The sequence below is a fragment of the Homo sapiens genome, chromosome 15 (genome assembly GCF_000001405.40).
Source record: "Homo sapiens chromosome 15, GRCh38.p14 Primary Assembly".
Lineage (NCBI taxonomy): Eukaryota > Metazoa > Chordata > Mammalia > Primates > Hominidae > Homo > Homo sapiens.
Genome location: NC_000015.10, coordinates 32,179,076 through 32,199,113, shown reverse-complemented (window position 1 = coordinate 32,199,113; position 20,038 = coordinate 32,179,076). Strand labels below are relative to the sequence as shown.

Here is a 20,038-nt window from a genome sequence, read left to right as displayed (position 1 = left end):
GGACCAAGGACGTGGGAGGAAGCTCACATGGTAACTATGGGGCATAAGGCATTTTGAGAAAAGCAAGACTTTGAGGAGGAATTTTTAGGACTAAAGAATAGCATGAGTGTCTGGAAATCCTAGGGTAAAGAGCAACTCATAAGGAGAAAGAGAAAGGTGGGAGAGCTCAGAGGCAAAAGTCTATTCTTACCTGTGCCCTGGACTGGCCCTTCCCTACCCCATTTCCTAGACACCGAGATAGAATTTCATGCTGCTCACAGTGTCCGGACTGCAACACACCATTTCTGTGTTTCCTGTAGTTAGGTGGAGTTGATAATTTAAGTAACAGACAAAACTAAGAGACCCCTTGGCCAGTCTCAGGCAGCAAGCACAGTGTGTGCCCTTTATTATTTTATTTTATTTATTTATATTTTTTGAGACAGAGTCTCACTGTGTCGCCCAGGCTGGAGTGCGATGGCGGGATCTCGGCTCACTGCAAGCTCTGCCTCCCGGGTTCACGCCATTCTCCTGCCTCAGCCTCTTGAGTAGCTAGGACTACAGGCGCCTGCCACCATGCCGGGCTAATTTTTTTTTTTTTTTTTTTTTTTTTTTTTTTTTTAGTAGAGACAGAGTTTCACCGTGTTAGCCAGGATGGTCTCGATCTCCTGATCCCCCCTCCTCAGCCTCCAAAAGTGCTGGGATTACAGGCGTGAGCCACCACGCCTGGCCGTGTGTGCCCTTTATACTAGTAATAGGCACATGTGAATTTTGTCCACACTTATGCAGAAATGGAGAAAGAAGCACTGCAGTAAACACCTAAGAAACAGCAATCAGAAAGGTTGTGGGCAAAGCTCGATATTCAGATGTGTCCTGGACTCCCCTCCAGTATCATTTTAATTACAAATCATCCATATGGAAACCTGGAGACTGTTTTAACTTTCCTTTTCAGTTTTTAGTTATATCTTACATCTTATATCACTTTCTAAAATTGAATAACCTGGAGATTAATTTATTTGCTTGTCACTTTTCCATTAGAAGCTTGAATTCATTTCTGTTTTCATTACCAGTACACAGTGGCTTGTCCCAAATTATCTTCACCCAAATCCTACCTGGATGAACTTACAGCATTTTAATAAAAATGGTTATTTGCTCTGGGAGAAAATTGTAATGGGCAAAATAAATCTCCTTATCTTTGAAGTAGTTTGAATGTGAGATCACAGTATGTCCTTTCTGTTAATACTTGGCTGCAGGATAATCCATGATTCCTTCTTTAAAAAAGTTCAGTACTAAAGTTGTTATGCAACATTTTATTAGAAGATAAAGTGCTCCCATTCTTCATATATACTCCATAAACTGCTGAGATGTCAAAGTGCTCCATAAATAATACAAGCTTCTTGCCCATCATTAACAAAAGACGCTGCTAAGTGGACAGAAAATTCAGTAATTCCCTTTTATGGAGATCACAGTACATACACTTAGTCCAATTTGCTGACCCTGCCATCAAAAATTACTGTCTGCAGAAACCCTGGCCTGGATTTTTTCACACTGAAAAATGGAGAGCTGGGGATTTTAATGGAAGACGCTGAACACTGGTTAAAATTCTGCCTTCACTTGAGAACTGGTCCACTGAGAAAAAATTATAACTATTGCTTCCCTTCCATTGAGAACACACTCTTCTATCAAAGGCATTCTGAGCCAGGAATCTGAGCTCTTTCAAGAAATCAGCTTATAGTAAGGCCAAATGAACTGCTAAGTCAGATCCCAGTGTGATGATATGCATATTCCCATTTATGATATGTCATCAATCATGGCTCATGCCTCTTGATTGCACTATGATAAATATGCCACTCAAGCAGGTTCATCGTACATCAGAGCCAGGGAAGGCAGCTTGGGAAATGCACAGGGTAATGGGCAACTTGGAAAGTGTGCAAATCCAGACAAGGCAGGTGCCTGCAGGACAAATCAGCCAAAGCCAACCAGATGTCTGGGCACCTGGTGTGGACATGCTTTCCCTCAGCCCAGATTTAGTTTCAGTGCATCACGTCTCTGTGTTCCAAGCAGCAGTTAACCTCAAGGCCGCACTAACATCTCTGGTGAGTTTACGGCCTCTGGTTCCTATCTACTCTCTGATTTAGGATATTCTTCAGCAGCAGATTGATCCTACATTCTGGCAAGTGCAGTTACATGGATCGTAATGTGCAAGTTCCCATGACCCCTCAGTCTTTCTTTCCAGCTGATGCACAAGTTAGACTCTAGTCCTCTCCAGATGTTTCATCTCACAATGTGAAATCCACCTTTCACTGGTATCTCTCACACAAATCAGAGCCAGATTGCCAAACTTCTTCACCTGACCTAATCGGCCAAAAACCAGAAAGCAGTATTTGCTGTTTTCCAATGATGTGGCCCACCGTGATTAACTTCCATAACACACAAACATGTTCCTCAAAAAGAAAGGCTAATGCTACATTCTAGAGAAAATGTATTACCCCTTGATATGGTTTGACTCTGTGTCCTCACCCAAATCTCATCTCAAATCGTAATCCCCACGTGTCGAGGGAGGGAGGTGATTGGATCACTTCCAATGCTGTTCTTGTGATAGTGAGTGAGTTCTCATGAGATCTGATTTTAAAAATGGCAGTTTCCCCTGTGCTCTCTCTCTCTTGCTGCCTTGTGAAGAAGGTGCTTACTTCCCCTTTGCCTTCTGCATAATTGTAAGTTTCCTGAGGCCTCCCCAGCCATGTGGAACGGTGAGTCAATTAAACCCCTTTCGTTTATAAATTACCCAGTCTCAGGTAATATGTTTACAGCAGTGTGAGAAAGGACAAATGCACCCCTCTCACCCTTTCTTTCCTGTTAAATTGTTTCAAAACTAGCTTTGGGGCATGTTAAAAATGTAGATGCGCCAGGCGGATAACTCATACCTGTAATCCCAGCACTTTGGGAGGGTGAATCACGAGGTCAGGAGATCGAGACCATCCTGGCTAACACAGTGAAACCCCGTCTGTATTAAAAATACAAAAAGTTAGCCGGGTATGGTAGCATGCACCTGTACAGTCCCAGCTACTCGGGGGGCTGAGGTGGGAGAATCACTTGAACCTAGAGGCAGAGGTTTCAGTGAGCTGAGATCGCACCACTGTACTCCAGCCTGGGCAATGGAGCAAGATTCCATCTCAAAAAAAAAAAAACAAAAAACAAAAAACAAACAAACAAACAAACAAAAAAAACCTGCCTGGGCCTCAAGTGCAGACCTATTAAATTAAAATTTCTGGGAATGGGGCTTACAGACTCTTGTTTTTTTATAAGCAGCCAGATAGTTCTGTGCATTGAAGTTTGAGAAGTTATTTGGGGTAGGTTTTCTCTGAGATGCCTTTCTGCCCTGATATTTTGTGGTTCTAGAAGCATTCAAAGAAAACTGTCAATGCACACCCCAAAGGCACACCCATGGGTCTCCTGCAGCACTGGCCACCATTCTCAGACCATTGCAGGACTGTGCAGAGGGAGTGATGGACAGGGGAAAATGGGACAGGGAAGAGCTAAGGGGTGGAAATCACAGGTCTGCTTTAAACTTCAGTGCCTTTACTTCTGGCTCTGCTGTCTTAGAGCAATTACATGACCTCACTAATTTCAGGTTTTCTAATTTCCAAGACCTGCAGTGTTAGATCAGTTACATGACCTCACTATTTCAGGTTTTCTACTTTCAAAATAGGAGTAAAAACAGATACTTCCCAGATGGCAGGAGGGTCAAATGAAGCAATAATGGGGCTGTATATAGCAGTGTTTAACTAAAATTTGAATTATTTAACTCTGTAAATGTTAGTTTTCTTCCCAGTTTCCCATTTGTAAATGATCCCTGGTTCGTGGGTTATTTTGAAGATCACCTTAGATGTATATGAGAGAGACTCTCTATGGATGACGTCGTGAAGAGCAGAGACCCTGAATCCCTTTACCTGTCGGGGAAGAGGGACAGACAAGGCCACCAGTTCAATCTGAGAAAAGGGCAGTGTGGTCCACTGAATAGTGTCCCCCCAGGACCTCCACCATCTGGTCCCTGGAACCTGTGATATGGTGACTTGGAAGGCAAAAGGGATTCTGCAGATGTGATTAAGAACTTTGAGTTGGGGAGATTATCTTGGGCCATCCAGGCGGGCCCTAAATGTAATCATAAATTTTCCTATAAGAGAAAGGCACAGGGGACTTGATGACAGTAGGGAAAGGCAGTGTGATGACACAGTCGGGGGGAAGGTGATGTGATGCAAGGAAGGGGCCAGGAGCCACGGGACGCAGGCGGCTCTGGAAGCTGAAAAGGCAAGGAAGCGATTCTCCCTAGAGCCTCAGTTAGAACCAGCCCTGCCCTGCAGACACCTCGGTTTTGTTCCCATAAGACTCAGTTTAGACTTCTGACCACCAGAACTATACATTCCCACTGTTTGAAGCCACCGAGTTCGTGGTAACTTTTACAGTAGCCACAGGAGAGGAATGCACGTATATGTAAAAGCAACACTATTGCTAAGAAAGTAAGGAGCACGTTTTCATAATTTACAGATGACAAGTATCTGAAATTTCAAGGGTAGTTTGAACTCACATATTTCCCCCACCAGCACTTTCAGGGCACTCACTCAGTGCCTGGCCTTGTGCAGCTCCGTATCACTCTGACAACCTAAAGTTTAGGCTGCTGCAGCCACTTTGCCCCACCTGAAGCATCTCAGGGGTGGGGGCTTGGGATGCTAAATTCTTCTCCATGCTGCAGGCCCAGGGTGCACTCAAGCTGGCACCGTGTTCCCCAGAGCTGGTCTCAGTATCTCCAGAGTGGGCGTCCTGGAATCCTCTCAGCCTGGGAGGTTCTCAGGGTGGCTCGAGCAGCCCTGTCCTCCCAGAGCCTGCTCAGGTCAGGAGACCCATGGAGGGAAGGGTAGGGACTTTCCTCCCAATCCCTAGAAGTCACTCCACCCACTATCCCAACCTTGCTTCCTTTTGGCCCCATTTGTCCTCTTGTCCTCACTTTGTCTGCCAGAATCATACTTCCGACCTATTGTAAAGGGTGGTTTTGCAGTAAAAATGAAGCTGATGCAACCAGTTCAATGCACAGAGGCCCCTGAGCTAAGAATAGGATGAGTGTGTAATTTCTCATCCACACCAGGACACTGCTGGGCTTGGCAAGCTCCCACTAAAGACAGCACAGTCACGAACCACAGGACTCAGGCCAGGGCAGGGAAAGTAAGAGGAGGCAGGCCCCTCTGTCAACCTCCATCTTCCCTTATCCGCAACTGGTGCTGCAGGCCTGCAGCTGCAGTAGGCTTCCAGGAGAGCCCTTCAGAAGACCTAAGGGCTGAGCAGAGTCCTCCGGGTGGAGAAGCAGGACACAGGCCTTTTATTTCCCTTTTCTTCCAGAACACCACCTGGATTAGAGAGAGCCACCTTTCCCAGGTGGGGCATTTGCCTCCTTTGACTGGCCCAGACTCATGATTATTCAAGGCTCTTGCCTGTAACTAGATCTTCCTAAGGAATCAGTGACTCTCTAGAACCCATCAGCAGAGGATCTTCTGCCATGTACACTGTTATCATGTCTCTTTTAGCCATCCATGAAGTTTCTATTTTCCAAGAGAGATGCCCAAAGCCTCCAAGCCACTTGCAGGGCAGTCAGGAATCACACACTTTGGATCCTATTACAGAGCAAGCCTTCCTTAATGCAGAACACCCCTTTCCCCTGCCCAGCTTTTCGGGTTCTTTTGTGATGACCTTCCCACTCTACCTCCTCTCAGGTGGGCAGATAACACTGGATACGCAGTGACAATTTTGAATTTCAAATAAACAACTTAAGTTTTTTAGTTTCTTTCTTTTTAAAAAATACCTATTGCCCTACCTTTTCCCAAGCCCCTCCACCAAATCTGAAGAACACAGTTTCCAGAACCCTATCACAATTTTATCATATCAAAAATACACACTTAAAGGCTTTTTAAATTTATTGACGTGTGAAGTAGTTAAAGTGGCAATTATATAATTACACAATAATTTGGTGGAGATGATATTTCAAATTATAAGATGCATAAAGGAAAGGTAATAAAAGGGTCTTAGGCTAAAGGCCTTCAAATTTGTGATATACAAAGAGCACAGACCACAACCATGAAGTCCAGGAGGGCCGGGTCTTGCACTTGTAGAAAGTGCACAATCAGGCTGGGCGTGGTGGCTCACACCTTTGGGAGACTGAGGTGGGCAGATCACCTGAGGTCAGGAGTTTGAGACCAGCCTGGCCAACATGGTGAAACCCCATCTGTACTAAAAGTACAAAAAATTTGCTGGGCGTGGTGGTGGGCACCTGAAATCCCAGCTACTCAGGAGGCTGAGGCAGGAGAATCATTTGAACCTGGGAGGCAGAGGTTGCAGTGAGCCGAGATCACGCCACTATGCTCCAGCCTGGGTGACAGAGTGAGACTCTGTCTCAAAAAGAAAGAAAGAAAGGAAGTGCACGTTCAGATGATGTCTCCTCCCGGCCTCACACTCTCAGGAAGGAAAAACAGAACAGCTGCGTAGATCCCACGGTCTCTTCCTGAAGCTTCCCTAACTCTAGCACCAGTTCCAGATGGGACAGCCCGTAGGCTGCTCAGGCAGTGTGTCAAAGGCTCACCTGATGTGCCAAGGCTTTCTGGCTTGGAAGCCCCTTTCCGTGCCATTTTGTTAAAAATCTGTAAACAGAAATTTAAAGTAAATTTTACCTATTTATTATTTTGTTTTATGCTAATATGCATGTGAAGTTAACAATTTTGGGGCCGTTCTATGAACATACCAGTGGTAAATACCCATTATAATGTCTCTTTCTGTTTTCTGAAAAATGTTCTTTCAATGCAGATAAATAGTCATTGAAAATCAGTAGAATGTGTGTCTTTTGGTCAAACAGCAGGAGAGCTGGGAAGGGAAGTTGAAAGGCCTGGGTAATTTTCATTTGTCAGTAGTGAAATCATCAGATTAATGAATGAAGAATGCATGATTTCCACCTTCATGAAGTCACTGCTAGTCTTAACCAGACACCATAAAAAAATGCAAGGATGTCCTGAGCTGGAAAGTTAAAATCCTGAGTGTTCCAGAATCATAGACTTTAAATCCTAAGGTTTAATCCTGACATTATGCCATCAGGAGCCTGGTGGCCAGGTAAGGTGGAAAATGTAAACTATTTTACCAATTTCAAAAGAGCTCTGGAAATTAGCCTATGAATCCTATAAGTGAAAACGTCCTCCAGCCAAAGACCTCAGGATCAGGCCTATAGTTGAACGAGTTGGATTTACTATTTGTTGGAGGGAGAGAGACTACACGCAGGGCACACCAGCGGGAACTGTGGGGTGTCTCAGGCAGAGGGGGTTTGCCAGGACTCATTACAGAACTGGGGCATGTTGGGTGATCTGGGGAGAGCGTTCAAGGAAGTGGGGCTTTGCTCCAGATTTGGTTGGTGTTTGGAAGAAGGGGATGCTATGCGATGCGTGGGTTAATCTTACCTGGAAGAAGGCAGACCAGAGCCAGGCAGCAGGCTTTTAACTATAAAGCAGCAGCACTCACTAGCATGAGCTGGGAGAGGGGGATATTAAGTCACTTTTATGGTTTGAACCATGTTCTTGCCTTGTCTGTGTTCAGACCTAATGACATAATGGTCTTGTTCTTTTTTTTTTTTTTTTTTTTGAGACAGAGTCTCGCTCTGTCACCCAAGCTGGAGTGCAGTAGCATGATCTCGGCTCACTGCAAGCTCCACCTCCCAGGTTCACGCCATTCTCCTGCCTCAGCCTCCCAAGTAGCTGGGACTACAGGCACCCGCCACCGCGCCCGACTAATTTTTTTGTAATTTTAGTAGAGACGGGGTTTCACCATGTTAGCTAGGATGGTCTCGATCGCCTGACCTTGTGATCCACCCGCCTCGGCCTCCCAAAGTGCTGGGATTACAGGTGTGAACCATCGCGCCTGGCCAGTCTTGTTCTTGTCTTATTCCGTCACACTCACCAAGTGGCTTCCCTGACCGTTCCTGTTCAGTGAACTGTTTATGTTCATCAGGAGAGACCAAGGCCCAGCTGTGGGCACCGGGCCAGCTCCTGCATATTAGGGGCCACCTTTGTCTTCTTAGAGCAATAATAACTGATGAACACCAGGACTAAGTTAGCACTGTGTGTTCTTGTTTACTGTGGGATTTTACTGAATAATATTTCATTACATTTCTTTCTCCAGAAATGCTGGGAAGGAATAATTTGGTGGAGACAATAGTTCAAATTATAGGATGCATAAAGGAAAGGTAATAAAAGGGTCTTGGGCTAAAGGCATTCAGGTCTCGCCGTATTCAAGTGTGCAATGATGTGTTGTAGCCACTGAGCCAAATCCTGGGAGACCACAAGAGGCTGATTGTGTCTGTCCCCATCAGTATCCAGGAAACTCACTTTCCCCAAACACACCTACAGCGAGGTAGTTCCCTAAGTTAGGCAGCCTCTATCCACAAGCCGCACCTGCATCTCTCCAGTACCTGAACACTTCCTTCATTCCACAAGCATTTCCAGACAGCCCACCTTCCCCTCACACTGCATCCTTCTCCTCAGGGACACAGAAACCCCCTCTCACTGCTGGTCCCAATTAGATGGGCAGGCCCCTCCCTGCTGCTCAAAGCACAACCAGAAACCAGGCTCAGAGGCAACCAGAACTCCGAAAGGTGTTCAGAGGAAGGCGGGCTGGTTTTGGGACCCCAGGGGGAGAAGGAAGGCACAGCAACAGGGTGCTTTATGGCCCCAAGACCAACAGAAGGTGACCCCAGCCTAGCACCCATGGCAGCCAGCTAGGCTTGCTCCCGCTCTGATGGAACAGGGCCCTCTGGCAATACCAGGCCAGCCTGACGCCACCTGACGGAGGAGGGACCTGAAGCCCTGTCCGCATAAGTGGCCCCAGGGTGGCTCCCCTCCTTGTGTACTGACAGCCCCTCCTCCCCACCCAGAAATATCTGGTTGGTGGGCACCTGCAGGGGATCCAAGCCTCTTCTTCAGACAGCCTGAGCCTTGGGCCCCACTGGGAGACACTCAGGGCAGAGCCTGGGGAAACTCCGTCTGCCCCTCAGCCTGCATCAGGAGGGATCCTGAGAGCCACAAGGACCCCCGAGAAACCAAGCAGGAGAGAACAACACAGCAGCGACTCTGGAAATTAGATGCCAGTAGAACCACAGCCTGCAAGATGGGCCAGGACCCATGTGCCAAACCTAAACAGGTCACTGCCTTCTAAAGCAAAAGAGTCACAGGGGACCCAGGTCACCTAACATGACAGGCAGAACGTCCACCAAACAACTGAAAACTCACCATCCTTCCAAGAGTGCAGAGATCACCACCAGCATGAGCACCACGATCAGCTGCTGCCAAGACCCAACTATCAGATGTTGGAATTATCTGACAAGGGCTCTAAAGTATCTGCCATTAAAAATGCTTCAGCAATGACAGGTTCTCTCGAAATAAATCAAACAATGGAAAATCTCAGCCCTTTCCTCACTGCCCCAGGGCTGGCAATCACTTGACATGGTTGCCTGTTACACCTGATAGCCCTCTTTGACTTCTTTTTTTTTTTTTTTTTATACTTTAAGTTTTAGGGTACATGTGACAATGTGCAGGTTAGTTACATATGTATACACGTGACATGCTGGTGCGCTGCACCCACTAACTCGTCATCTAGCATTAGGTATATCTCCCAATGCTATCCCTCCCCCCCTTCCCCCACCCCACAACAGTCCCCAGAGTGTGATGTTCCCCTTCCTGTGTCCATGTGTTCTCATTGTTCAATTCCCACCTATGAGTGAGAATACGCAGTGTTTGGTTTTTTGTTCTTGTGATAGTTTACTGAGAATGATGATTTCCAGTTTCATCCATGTCTCTACAAAGGACGTGAACTCATCATTTTTTATGGCTGCATAGTATTCCATGGTGTATATGTGCCACATTTTCTTAATCCAGTCTATCATTGTTGGACATTTGGCTTGGTTCCAAGTCTTTGCTATTGTGAATAGTGCCACAATAAACATATGTGTGCGAGTGTCTTTATAGCAGCATGATTTATAGTCCTTTGGGTATATACCCAGTAATGGGATTGCTGGGTCAAATGGTATTTCTAGTTCTAGATCTCTGAGGAATCACCACACTGACTTCCACAATGGCTGAACTGGTTTACAGTCCCACCAACAGTGTAAAAGTGTTCCTATTTCTCCACATCCTCTCCAGCACCTGTTGTTTCCTGACTTTTTAATGATTGCCATTCTAACTGGTGTGAGATGGTATCTCATTGTGGTTTTGATTTGCATTTCTCTGATGGCCAGTGATGGTGAGCATTTTTTCATGTGTTTTTTGGCTGCATAAATGTCTTCTTTTGAGACTGTCTGTTCATGTCCTTTGCCCACTTTTTGATGGGGTTGTTTTTTTCTTGTAAATTTGTTGGAGTTCATTGTAGATTCTGGATATTAGCCCTTTGTCAGATGAGTAGGTTGCGAAAATTTTCTCCCATATTGTGGGTTGCCTGTTCACTCTGATGGTAGTTTCTTTTGCTGTGCAGAAGCTCTTTAGTTTAATTAGATCCCATTTGTCTATTTTGGCTTTTGTTGCCATTGCTTTTGGTGTTTTAGACATGAAGTCCTTGCCCGTGCCTATGTCCTGAATGGTAATGCCTAGGTTTTCTTCTAGGGTTTTTATGGTTTTAGGTCTAACGTTTAAGTCTTTAATGCATCTTGAATTGATTTTTGTATAAGGTGTAAGGAAGGGATCTAGTTTCAGCTTTCTACATATAGCTAGCCAGTTTTCCCAGCACCATTTATTAAATAGGGAATCCTTTCCCCATTGCTTGTTTTTCTCAGGTTTGTCAAAGATCAGATAGTTGTAGATATGCGGCGTTATTTCTGAGGGCTCTGTTCTGTTCCATTGATCTATATCTCTGTTTTGGTACCAGTACCATGCTGTTTTGGTTACTGTAGCCTTGTAGTATAGTTTGAAGTCAGGTAGCGTGATGCCTCCAGCTTTGTTCTTTTGGCTTAGGATTGACTTGGCGATGCAGGCTCTTTTTTGGTTCCATATGAACTTTAAAGTAGTTTTTTCCAATTCTCTGAAGAAAGTCATTGGTAGCTTGATGGGGATGGCATTGAATCTATAAATTACCTTGGGCAGTGTGGCCATTTTCACGATATTGATTCTTCCTACCCAGGAGCATGGAATGTTCTTCCATTTGTTTGTATCCTCTTTCATTTCATTGAGCAGTGGTTTGTAGTTCTCCTTGAAGAGGTCCTTCACGTCCCTTGTAAGGTGGATTCCTAGGTATTTTATTCTGTTTGAAGCAATTGCGAATGGGAGTTCACTCATGATTTGGCTCTCTGTTTGTCTGTTATTGGTGTATAAGAATGCTTGTGATTTTTGTACATTGATTTTGTATCCTGAGACTTTGTTGAAGTTGCTTATCAGCTTAAGGAGATTTTTGGCTGAGACAATGGGGTTATCTAGATATACAATCATGTCGTCTGCAAACAGGGACAATTTGACTTCCTCTTTTCCTAATTGAATACCCTTTATTTCCTTCTCCTGCCTAACTGCCCTGGCCAGAACTTCCAACACTATGTTGAATAGGAGTGGTGAGAGAGGGCATCCCTGTCTTGTGCCAGTTTTCAAAGGGAATGCTTCCAGTTTTTGCCCATTCAGTATGATATTGGCTGTGGGTTTGTCATAGATAGCTCTTATTATTTTGAGATATGTCCCATCAATACCTAATTTATTGAGAGTTTTTAGCATGAAGGGTTGTTGAATTTTGTCAAAGGCCTTTTCTGCATCTATTGAGATAATCTTGTGGTTTTTGTCTTTGGTTCTGTTTATATGCTGGATTACATTTATTGATTTGTGTATATTGAACCAGCCTTGCATCCCAGGGATGAAGCCCACTTGATCATGGTGGATAAGCTTTTTGATGTGCTGCTGGATTCCGTTTGCCAGTATTTTATTGAGGATTTTTGCATCGATGTTCATCAGGGATATTGGTCTAAAATTCTCTTTTTTGGTTGTGTCTCTGCCCGGCTTTGGTATCAGGATGATGCTGGCCTCATAAAATGAGTTAGGGAGGATTCCCTCTTTTTCTATTGATTGGAATAGTTTCAGAAGGAATGGTATCAGTTCATCCTTGTACCTCTGGTAGAATTCGGCTGTGAATCCATCTGGTCCTGGACTCTTTTTGGTTGGTAAGCTATTGATTATTGCCACAATTTCAGCTCCTGTTATTGGTCTATTCAGAGATTCAACTTCTTCCTGGTTTAGTCTTGGGAGAGTGTATGTGTCGAGGAATTTATCCATTTCTTCTAGATTTTCTAGTTTAATTGCGTAGAGGTGCTTGTAGTATTCTCTGATGGTAGTTTGTATTTCTGTGGGATCGGTGGTGATATCCCCTTTATCATTTTTTATTGCGTCTATTTGATTCTCTCTTTTTTTCTTTATTAGTCTTGCTAGCGGTCTATCAATTTTGTTGATTCTTTCAAAAAACCAGCTCCTGGATTCATTAATGTTTTGAAGGGTTTTTTGTGTCTCTATTTCCTTCAGTTCTGCTCTGATTTTAGTTATTTCTTGCCTTCTGCTAGCTTTTGAATGTGTTTGCTCTTGCTTATCTAGTTCTTTTAATTGTGATGTTAGGGTGTCCATTTTGGATCTTTCCTGCTTTCTCTTGTGGGCATTTAGTGCTATAAATTTCCCTGTACATACTGCTTTGAATGCATCCCAGAGATTCTGGTATGTTGTGTCTTTGTTCTCGTTGGTTTCAAAGAACATCTTTATTTCTGCCTTCATTTCGTTATGTACCCAGTAGTCATTCAGGAGCAGGTTGTTCAGTTTCCATGTAGTTGAGCGGTTTTGAGTGAGATTCTTAATCCTGAGTTCTAGTTTGATTGCACTGTGGTCTGAGAGACAGTTTGTTATAATTTCTGTTCTTTTACATTTGCTGAAGAGAGCTTTACTTCCAAATATGTGGTCAATTTTGGAATAGGTGTGGTGTGGTGCTGAAAAAAATGTATATTCTGTTGATTTGGGGTGGAGAGTTTTGTAGATGTCTATTAGGTCTGCTTGGTGGAGAGCTGAGTTCAATTCCTGGGTATCCTTGTTGACTTTCTGTCTCGTTGATCTGTCTAATGTTGACAGTGGGGTGTTAAAGTCTCCCATTATTAATGTGTGGGAGTCTAAGTCTCTTTGTACGTCACTCAGGACTTGCTTTATGAATCTGGGTGCTCCTGTATTGGGTGCATATATATTTAGGATAGTTAGCTCTTCTTGTTGAATTGATCCCTTTACCATTGTGTAATGGCCTTCTTTGTCTCTTTTGATCTTTGTTGGTTTAAAGTCTGTTTTATCAGAGACTAGGATTGCAACCCCTGCCTTTTTTTGTTTTCCACTTGCTTGGTAGATCTTCCTCCATCCTTTTATTTTGAGCCTATGTGTGTCTCTGCATGTGAGGTGGGTTTCCTGAATACAACACACTGATGGATCTTGACTCTTTATCCAATTTGCCAGTCTGTGTCTTTTAATTGGAGCATTTAGTCCATTTACATTTAAAGTTAATATTGTTATGTGTGAATTTGATCCTCTCATTATGATGTTAGCTGGTTATTTTGCTCGTTAGTTGATGCAGTTTCTTCCTAGTCTGGATGGTCTTTACATTTTGGCATGATTTTGCAGCGGCTGGTAACAGTTGTTCCTTTCCATGTTTAGTGCTTCCTTCAGGAGCTCTTTTAGGGCAGGCCTGGTGGTGACAAAATCTCTCAGCATTTGCTTGTCTGTAAAGTATTTTATTTCTCCTTCACTTATGAAGCTTAGTTTGGCTGGATATGAAATTCTGGGTTGAAAATTCTTTTCTTTGAGAATGTTGAATATTGGCCCGCACTCTCTTCTGGCTTGCAGTTTCTGCCGAGAGATCCGCTGTTAGTCTGATGGGCTTCGCTTTGTGGGTAACCCGACCTTTCTCTCTGGCTGCCCTTAACATTTTTTCCTTCATTTCAACTTTGGTGAATCTGACAATTATGTGTCTTGGAGGTGCTCTTCTCGAGGAGTATCTTTGTGGTGTTCTCTGTATTTCCTGAATCTGAACGTTGGCCTGCCTTGCTAGATTGGGGAAGTTCTCCTGGATAATATCCTGCAGAGTGTTTTCCAACTTGGTTCCATTCTCCCCGTCACTTTCAGGTACACCAATCAGACGTAGATTTGGTCTTTTCACATAGTCCCATATTTCTTGGAGGCTTTGTTCATTTCTTTTTATTCTTTTTTCTCTAAACTTCCCTTCTCGCTTCATTTCATTCATTTCATCTTCCATCGCTGATACCCTTTCTTCCAGTTGATTGCATCGGCTCCTGAGGCTTCTGCATTCTTCACGTAATTCTCGAGTCTTGGCTTTCAGCTCCATCTGCTCCTTTAAGCACTTGTCTGTATTGGTTATTCTAGTTATACATTCGTCTAAATTTTTTTCAAAGTTTTTAACTTCTTTGCCTTCGGTTTGAATTTCCTCCTGTAGCTCGTAGTTTGATCGTCTGAAGCTTTCTTCTCTCAACTCGTCAAAGTCATTCTCTGTCCAGCTTTGTTCCATTGCTGGTGAGGAACTGCGATCCTTTGGAGGAGGAGAGGTGCTCTGCTTTTTAGAGTTTCCCGTTTTTCTGCTCTGTTTTTTCCCCATCTTTGTGGTTTTATCTACTTTTGGTCTTTGATGATGGTGATGTACAGATGGGTTTTGGTGTGGATGTCCTTTCTGTTTGTTAGCTTTCCTTCTAACAGACAGGACCCTCAGCTGCAGGTCTGTTGGAGTTTGCTAGAGGTCCACTCCAGACCCTGTTTGCCTGGGTATCAGCAGCGGTGTCTGCAGAACAGTGGTTTTCGTGAACCGCGAATGCTGCTGTCTGATCGTTCCTCTGGAAGTTTTGTCTCAGAGGAGTACCCGGCCGTGTGAGGTGTCAGTCTGCCCCTGCTGGGGGGTGCCTCCCAGTTAGGCTGCTCGGGGGTCAGGGGTCAGGGACCCACTTGAGGAGGCAGTCTGCCCGTTCTCAGATCTCCAGCTGTGTGCTGGGAGAACCACTGCTGTCCTCAAAGCTGTCAGACAGGGACATTTAAGTCTGCAGAGGTTACTGCTGTCTTTTTGTTTGTCTGTGCCCTGCCCCCAGAGGTGTAGCCTACAGAGGCAGGCAGGCAGGCCTCCTTGAGCTGTGGTGGGCTCCACCCAATTGGAGCTTCCTGGCTGCTTTGTTTACCTAAGCGAGCCTGGGCAATGGCGGGCGCCCCTCCCCTAGCCTCACTGCCGCCTTGCAGTTTGATCTCAGACTGCTGTGCTAGCAATCAGCGAGACTCTGTGGGCGTAGGACCCTCCAAGCCAGGTGCAGGATATAATCTCCTGGTGCGCCGTTTTTTAAGCCCGTCGGAAAAGCGCAGTATTTGGGTGGGAGTGACCCGATATTCCAGGTGCTGTCTGTCACCCCTTTCTTTGACTAGGAAAGGGAACTCCTTGACCCCTTGTGCTTCCTGAGTGAGGCAATGCCTCGCCCTGCTTCGGCTCGCGCACGGCGCACTGCACCCACTGTCCTGCGCCCACTGTCTGGCACTCCCTAGTGAGATGAACCCGGTACCTCAGATGGAAATGCAGAAATCACCTGTCTTCTGCGTCGCTCACGCTGGGAGCTGTAGACCGGAGCTGTTCCTATTCGGCCATCTTGGTTCCAGACAAAAAGTCTTTGACTTCTTTTAGGGGCGGGTGCCTTTGCCTGTGTAACCACTGTTCATAGGAAAGTGTCCCCATTCACATGACTCCAGTGGTTTCTGCCACCCGTCTGCACCGATTGAGTGACTGAGGGGCTCTGCAGCGCTAGCAAACATTCACCTGGGGAGATAGAGAAGATGCTTTAGATCATACTCTCCTGGAAAATGCCTTGAAACCCTCTTTCAACATTTCTTCCTCCTAGTCCTTCTGTCCCAGGCTTTGAGCAGGTTATTCCCTCATCAGCCACGTCCTGTCGGCTGCCATTTTCCATCTCATATCTGACCTATAAATCACATCCTACATCTCACCTTAAGACTGGAGGGAGATCCAGCTCCCACTGCCACACCTGGTCAGCCTCCCAGCATATGGGACTCAACAAAGTTTAGGGCAGAAGTGGAAAGAATATGCTGTAGCTCCCAGTTCTTTTTCCAGAATCTAAAAACAACTGAATTATACCACTCTCTGGCCCAGAGCCTTCAGTCGCCCCTACTGCTCTTAGGGAAAGCACTAGGGAATCCCGAAGACCCCCATCTCCCATCCCAGACAGTGCCTTCTCCCACCCTCACTCCTCCTGCCCACCGCCACCCTGCCCACCCTGGCCCTCTCTGGTGTTCCTCTCATGCATACCTCTCAAGGTGCACCAGGCGGCTGCCTCTGGGTACTTGCCCAGCCCTGTCCCCTCTGCTCCCCTCTCGCAGGCCATCCCACCACACTCGTCCCACCTGGCTTGTGTCAATGTTCCATTACTGTTCACCGGCTGCCCACGCACCTCCAGCTCCACATCGTGAGTATTTCTCCCCCTTCTCATCTCATGTCCTAAAAGCATTCAACAAATATGTACTCAGTAAACGGTCTCTGCTGCTTTCCATGTGTAATGACCCCTCCCTAATGACCTCACCAGATGCCTCCTGGACCCACTGCCAAAGCCCCTGTATTTATTTATTTATTTTTTGAGACATGGTCTCGCTCTGTTGCCCAGGCTGGAGTGCAATGGCACAATCTTGGCTCACAGCAACCTCCGCCTCTTGGGTTCAAGTGATTCTCCTGCCTCAGCCTCCCAAGTAGCTGGGATTACAGGGATGCACCACAATGCCTGGCTAATTTTTGTATTTTTAGTAGAGATGGGGTTTTTCTGTGTTGTCCAGGCTGGTCTCGGACTCCTGACCTCAGGTGATCTGCCCGCCTCAGCCTCCCAAAGTGATGGGATTACAGGCGTGAGCCACTGTGCCCGGCCTAGCCCCTGTGTTTCTGAGCTGTGCTTTTTGGTATTTGGGTCCTGGTAAATATCACTTAGGAAGAGACAACTGACAATGTCTTTCTAAACTTTCCTTTTTCTCACCAGAGAATGTGTTGCTAGACGTCATTGTCATGGTGGCAGGAGGAATTTGTTAAACTTCAAAGGAATGCCTGTTTGTCATAAAGCCTTTAAAACAAGAAGATGGCATCTCCTATGTGGGAGGAGTGAGGTTTGATCCTGCGGAAAATAAACTTAGCTGACATTTTCGAGTGCGTCTTGTGTTCTGGGCTGTCCTTGCGACAGTGTCTTGGCAGGTAGTACTATAGTCACTCCTTTAACGTGGGGACACCCGAGTTTGGATAACGTGAGCAGTGTGCTGGAGGTCAGTCGGCAGGGGGCAGAGTTGGATTTGAAGGTGAGGTCGTGTTTGTGGGGCCACTGTTTTTAATCACGGTACTAGAGGCACCACAGAGAGTGTAGAGAAAACAGAACCGCAAGGCCTGAGTGCCTTAAAGAGAGGTTTTCAGAATCAGGACCCAGCATGCTTATTCTTGCTGCAGTGCCTTAACACGCTAAACAGCGCTTAACCGCGCTAAAACATCCCATGGGAAACTGTGACTGCAAGGCCCGGGGGATGTTCCTTCTCAGCCCATGCCCTGCCCATGCCCCAAGTAAAAGCAGTTTTAGGGACCACTAGTGTCCCAGGAATCATGGTATTAAAGAGTTGTTGGGTGTGGTGGCTCATGCCTGTAATCCCAGCTGCTTTGGAGGCTGAGGCAGGAGAATCGCTGGAACCCAGGAGGCAGAGGCTGCAGTGAGCCGAGATCGCGCCATTGCACTCCAGCCTGGACAACAAGAGCCAAACTCCAATTCAAAAAAAAAAAAAGTTAACCTTTCAAAGCAAGATGGTTTTAGCCATAAATTTTCATAGCAACAGAGGACAGCACATACCAGTGACGGAACCGATACTTTGAATCAAGCCAGCCAGAGGGGTCTACACCCCCTTCCACTGCAGACACCAAAACACAGGGTGCCATTCTCCATTCCCTGCCATTTACAAAGAAGAATGGACAAAGTAAGTTTGAGGTTAACGAAAGCAGCCTCAGGATGTTGAGTTCCTAGTCTCAGTTCAAACAGCTATTTGTGTGAGGCTGGGCAAGTCGCTGGGGTGGGCCTCAATCCCCTCATCTGATTTTACCTGAGGCGCCACCAACTCTAGGAAGTCTCCCATGATTGTCTAAGGCTGGGATCCCTCCCTGTGTGGCCCTTACTCTCTTTTTACCTAATTCCCTTCCTAAGAACGAGCTCCTTCCAGCTAAGATAAGCTTTCTCATGACTGCACCCCCTGTGTCTGGCAGAGGGGACAGCACCTGACAGATGCCTGCCTTGGAGGCTGGGGCTGCCACAACAAAGAACCACAGCCTGGGGGCTTAAACACAGACGTGCATTTCCTCACAGTGCTGGAGGCTGGAAGTCCAAGATCAAGGTGGGCAAGGCTGGCTTCTCCTGCAGCCTCTCTCTTCGGCTTGTAGATGGCTGTCTTCCCTGTGCCTCAGACGATCACCCCTCTGACTGTGTCTGTATCCTAACCTCATCTTCTTATAAGGACACCAGTCAGAATGGATTAAGGTTCACCCTCATGGCCTGATTTTAACTCAATTACCTCTTTAAAGGCCCTCTCCAAATAAGATCACAGTCTGAGGTACGGTGGTTGGGCTTCAACATATAAATTTGAAGAATCTTAATTCAGACCACAACGGGGTCTCACATGTCTCAGGTGAATGGACTGAATCTCAGCCTGCAGTTCAATGGGATCACATCCATGTGAATCTGAATTGCAGCTGTGGGTTGACCTCAGCCAGTTGGCTTTGGCTCTCCTCTGCCCAGTTATTTCCAGGAGTCTGGAAGAATCTCAGGAGAGCTCAGGGAACCTGGAACAAACACCTACTGCTGGCCCCCACTGCTGCCACTCCTGCTCCCTCCTGATGGCAGGGTCCCTGTCTCCCCCAGTCACAGACACGCGGATGAGCCCCCATCTGCCTGGCTGACCCACTGCCTCCTGAGCCCAAGTCTCTTTGGCTGAGGCCCCAGTACACACCAACACCATTTTCAAAATGACTCCTTCACAATTTCTCTTTAAGGCCAGACACCAAAGTCCCCCAGACCTGTCTCTGGAACAAATACTCTTATCTTTTGTACTTGAACTAACCTTTAAAAAAAAAAAAGCTTGGAACCTGATGCCATAGACGAGCTCTGAGCTTCTGTATATTTGGAAATTCTGAATCTAATTGAATAGCATGAACTTGTCTTTTCCACAAAGGATTTGAGGCACTGTGTTTTTAAGTGACTAAGCCCACGTCCCTCTCCAGACACCACCTGGGGCTTGGCAATGAGGATGCTGGCGGGGGTTTAATATGGTCACACGGGAGCCAGAGAACCAACAAGGTTGACCAGGGCACAGGGGGCATGCTGAAGTATGGCTGGGACTGCAGCAAATTCTAATTCCAAGTGGATGGTAATTTCTTGAGCATTATGATGTTTGAAAAGTACAACAGAAGTCTATATTGTAATGTAGTGCCTTCTTATCCACAGGGATATGTTCCAAGACCCACAGTAGATGCTTGAAACCTTGGGTAGTAGTGAACCCTACATATGTTTTTTCTCTGATATATACATACCTATGATAAAATTTAATGTATAAATTAGGCACAGTAAGAAACTAACAGCACTTACTAGCAATAAAATAGGACAATCATAACCATATGCTGTAATGAAAGTTATGTGAATGTGGTCTCTGTCACAAAACATCTTATTGTCTTCGCCTATTTTCTGACTGTGGTTGACCACAGATAACTGAAGCCACAGAAAGAAACACCACAGGACATGTGTGGTGGCTCACGCCTGTAATCCCAGCACTTTGGGAGGCTGAGCTGGGCAGATCATCTGAGGTCAGGAGTTCGAGACCAGCCTGGCCAACATGGTGAAACCCCAGCTCTACTAAAAATATAAAAATTAGCTGGGCGTGGTAGCAGGCGCCTGTAGTCCCAGCTACTTGGGAGGCTGAGGCAGGAGAATGGC

General features: G+C 45.8%; 1 long non-coding RNA gene across 11 annotated transcripts in view, besides 1 other annotated feature; it reads left to right on the top strand.

Annotated features, from left to right (window-relative positions):
* Nucleotides 1-20,038, top strand: part of LOC102724078 (uncharacterized) — a 187,103-nt gene that overhangs the window by 143,954 nt on the left and 23,111 nt on the right. For 3 of the 11 annotated variants that reach the window (XR_007064568.1, XR_007064564.1, XR_007064569.1), the window contains 2 exons: nt 16,422-16,507; nt 17,066-18,446. The exons of 6 other annotated variants lie outside the window; for them this stretch is intronic. This is a non-coding gene — a long non-coding RNA (uncharacterized LOC102724078). The remainder of the gene's footprint in view (nt 1-16,421; nt 16,508-17,065; nt 18,447-20,038) is intronic. 2 more of the 11 variants (XR_007064565.1, XR_007064567.1) reach the window with 2 other exon arrangements.
* Nucleotides 15,243-15,744: an enhancer, noted in NCBI's record as "H3K4me1 hESC enhancer chr15:32475571-32476072 (GRCh37/hg19 assembly coordinates)". NCBI's record gives its function as "activates a minimal SCP1, AML or CMV promoter by ChIP-STARR-seq in naive H9 embryonic stem cells {active_cell/tissue: H9 hESC(naive)}" and the evidence as "EXISTENCE:reporter gene assay evidence [ECO:0000049][PMID:30033119]".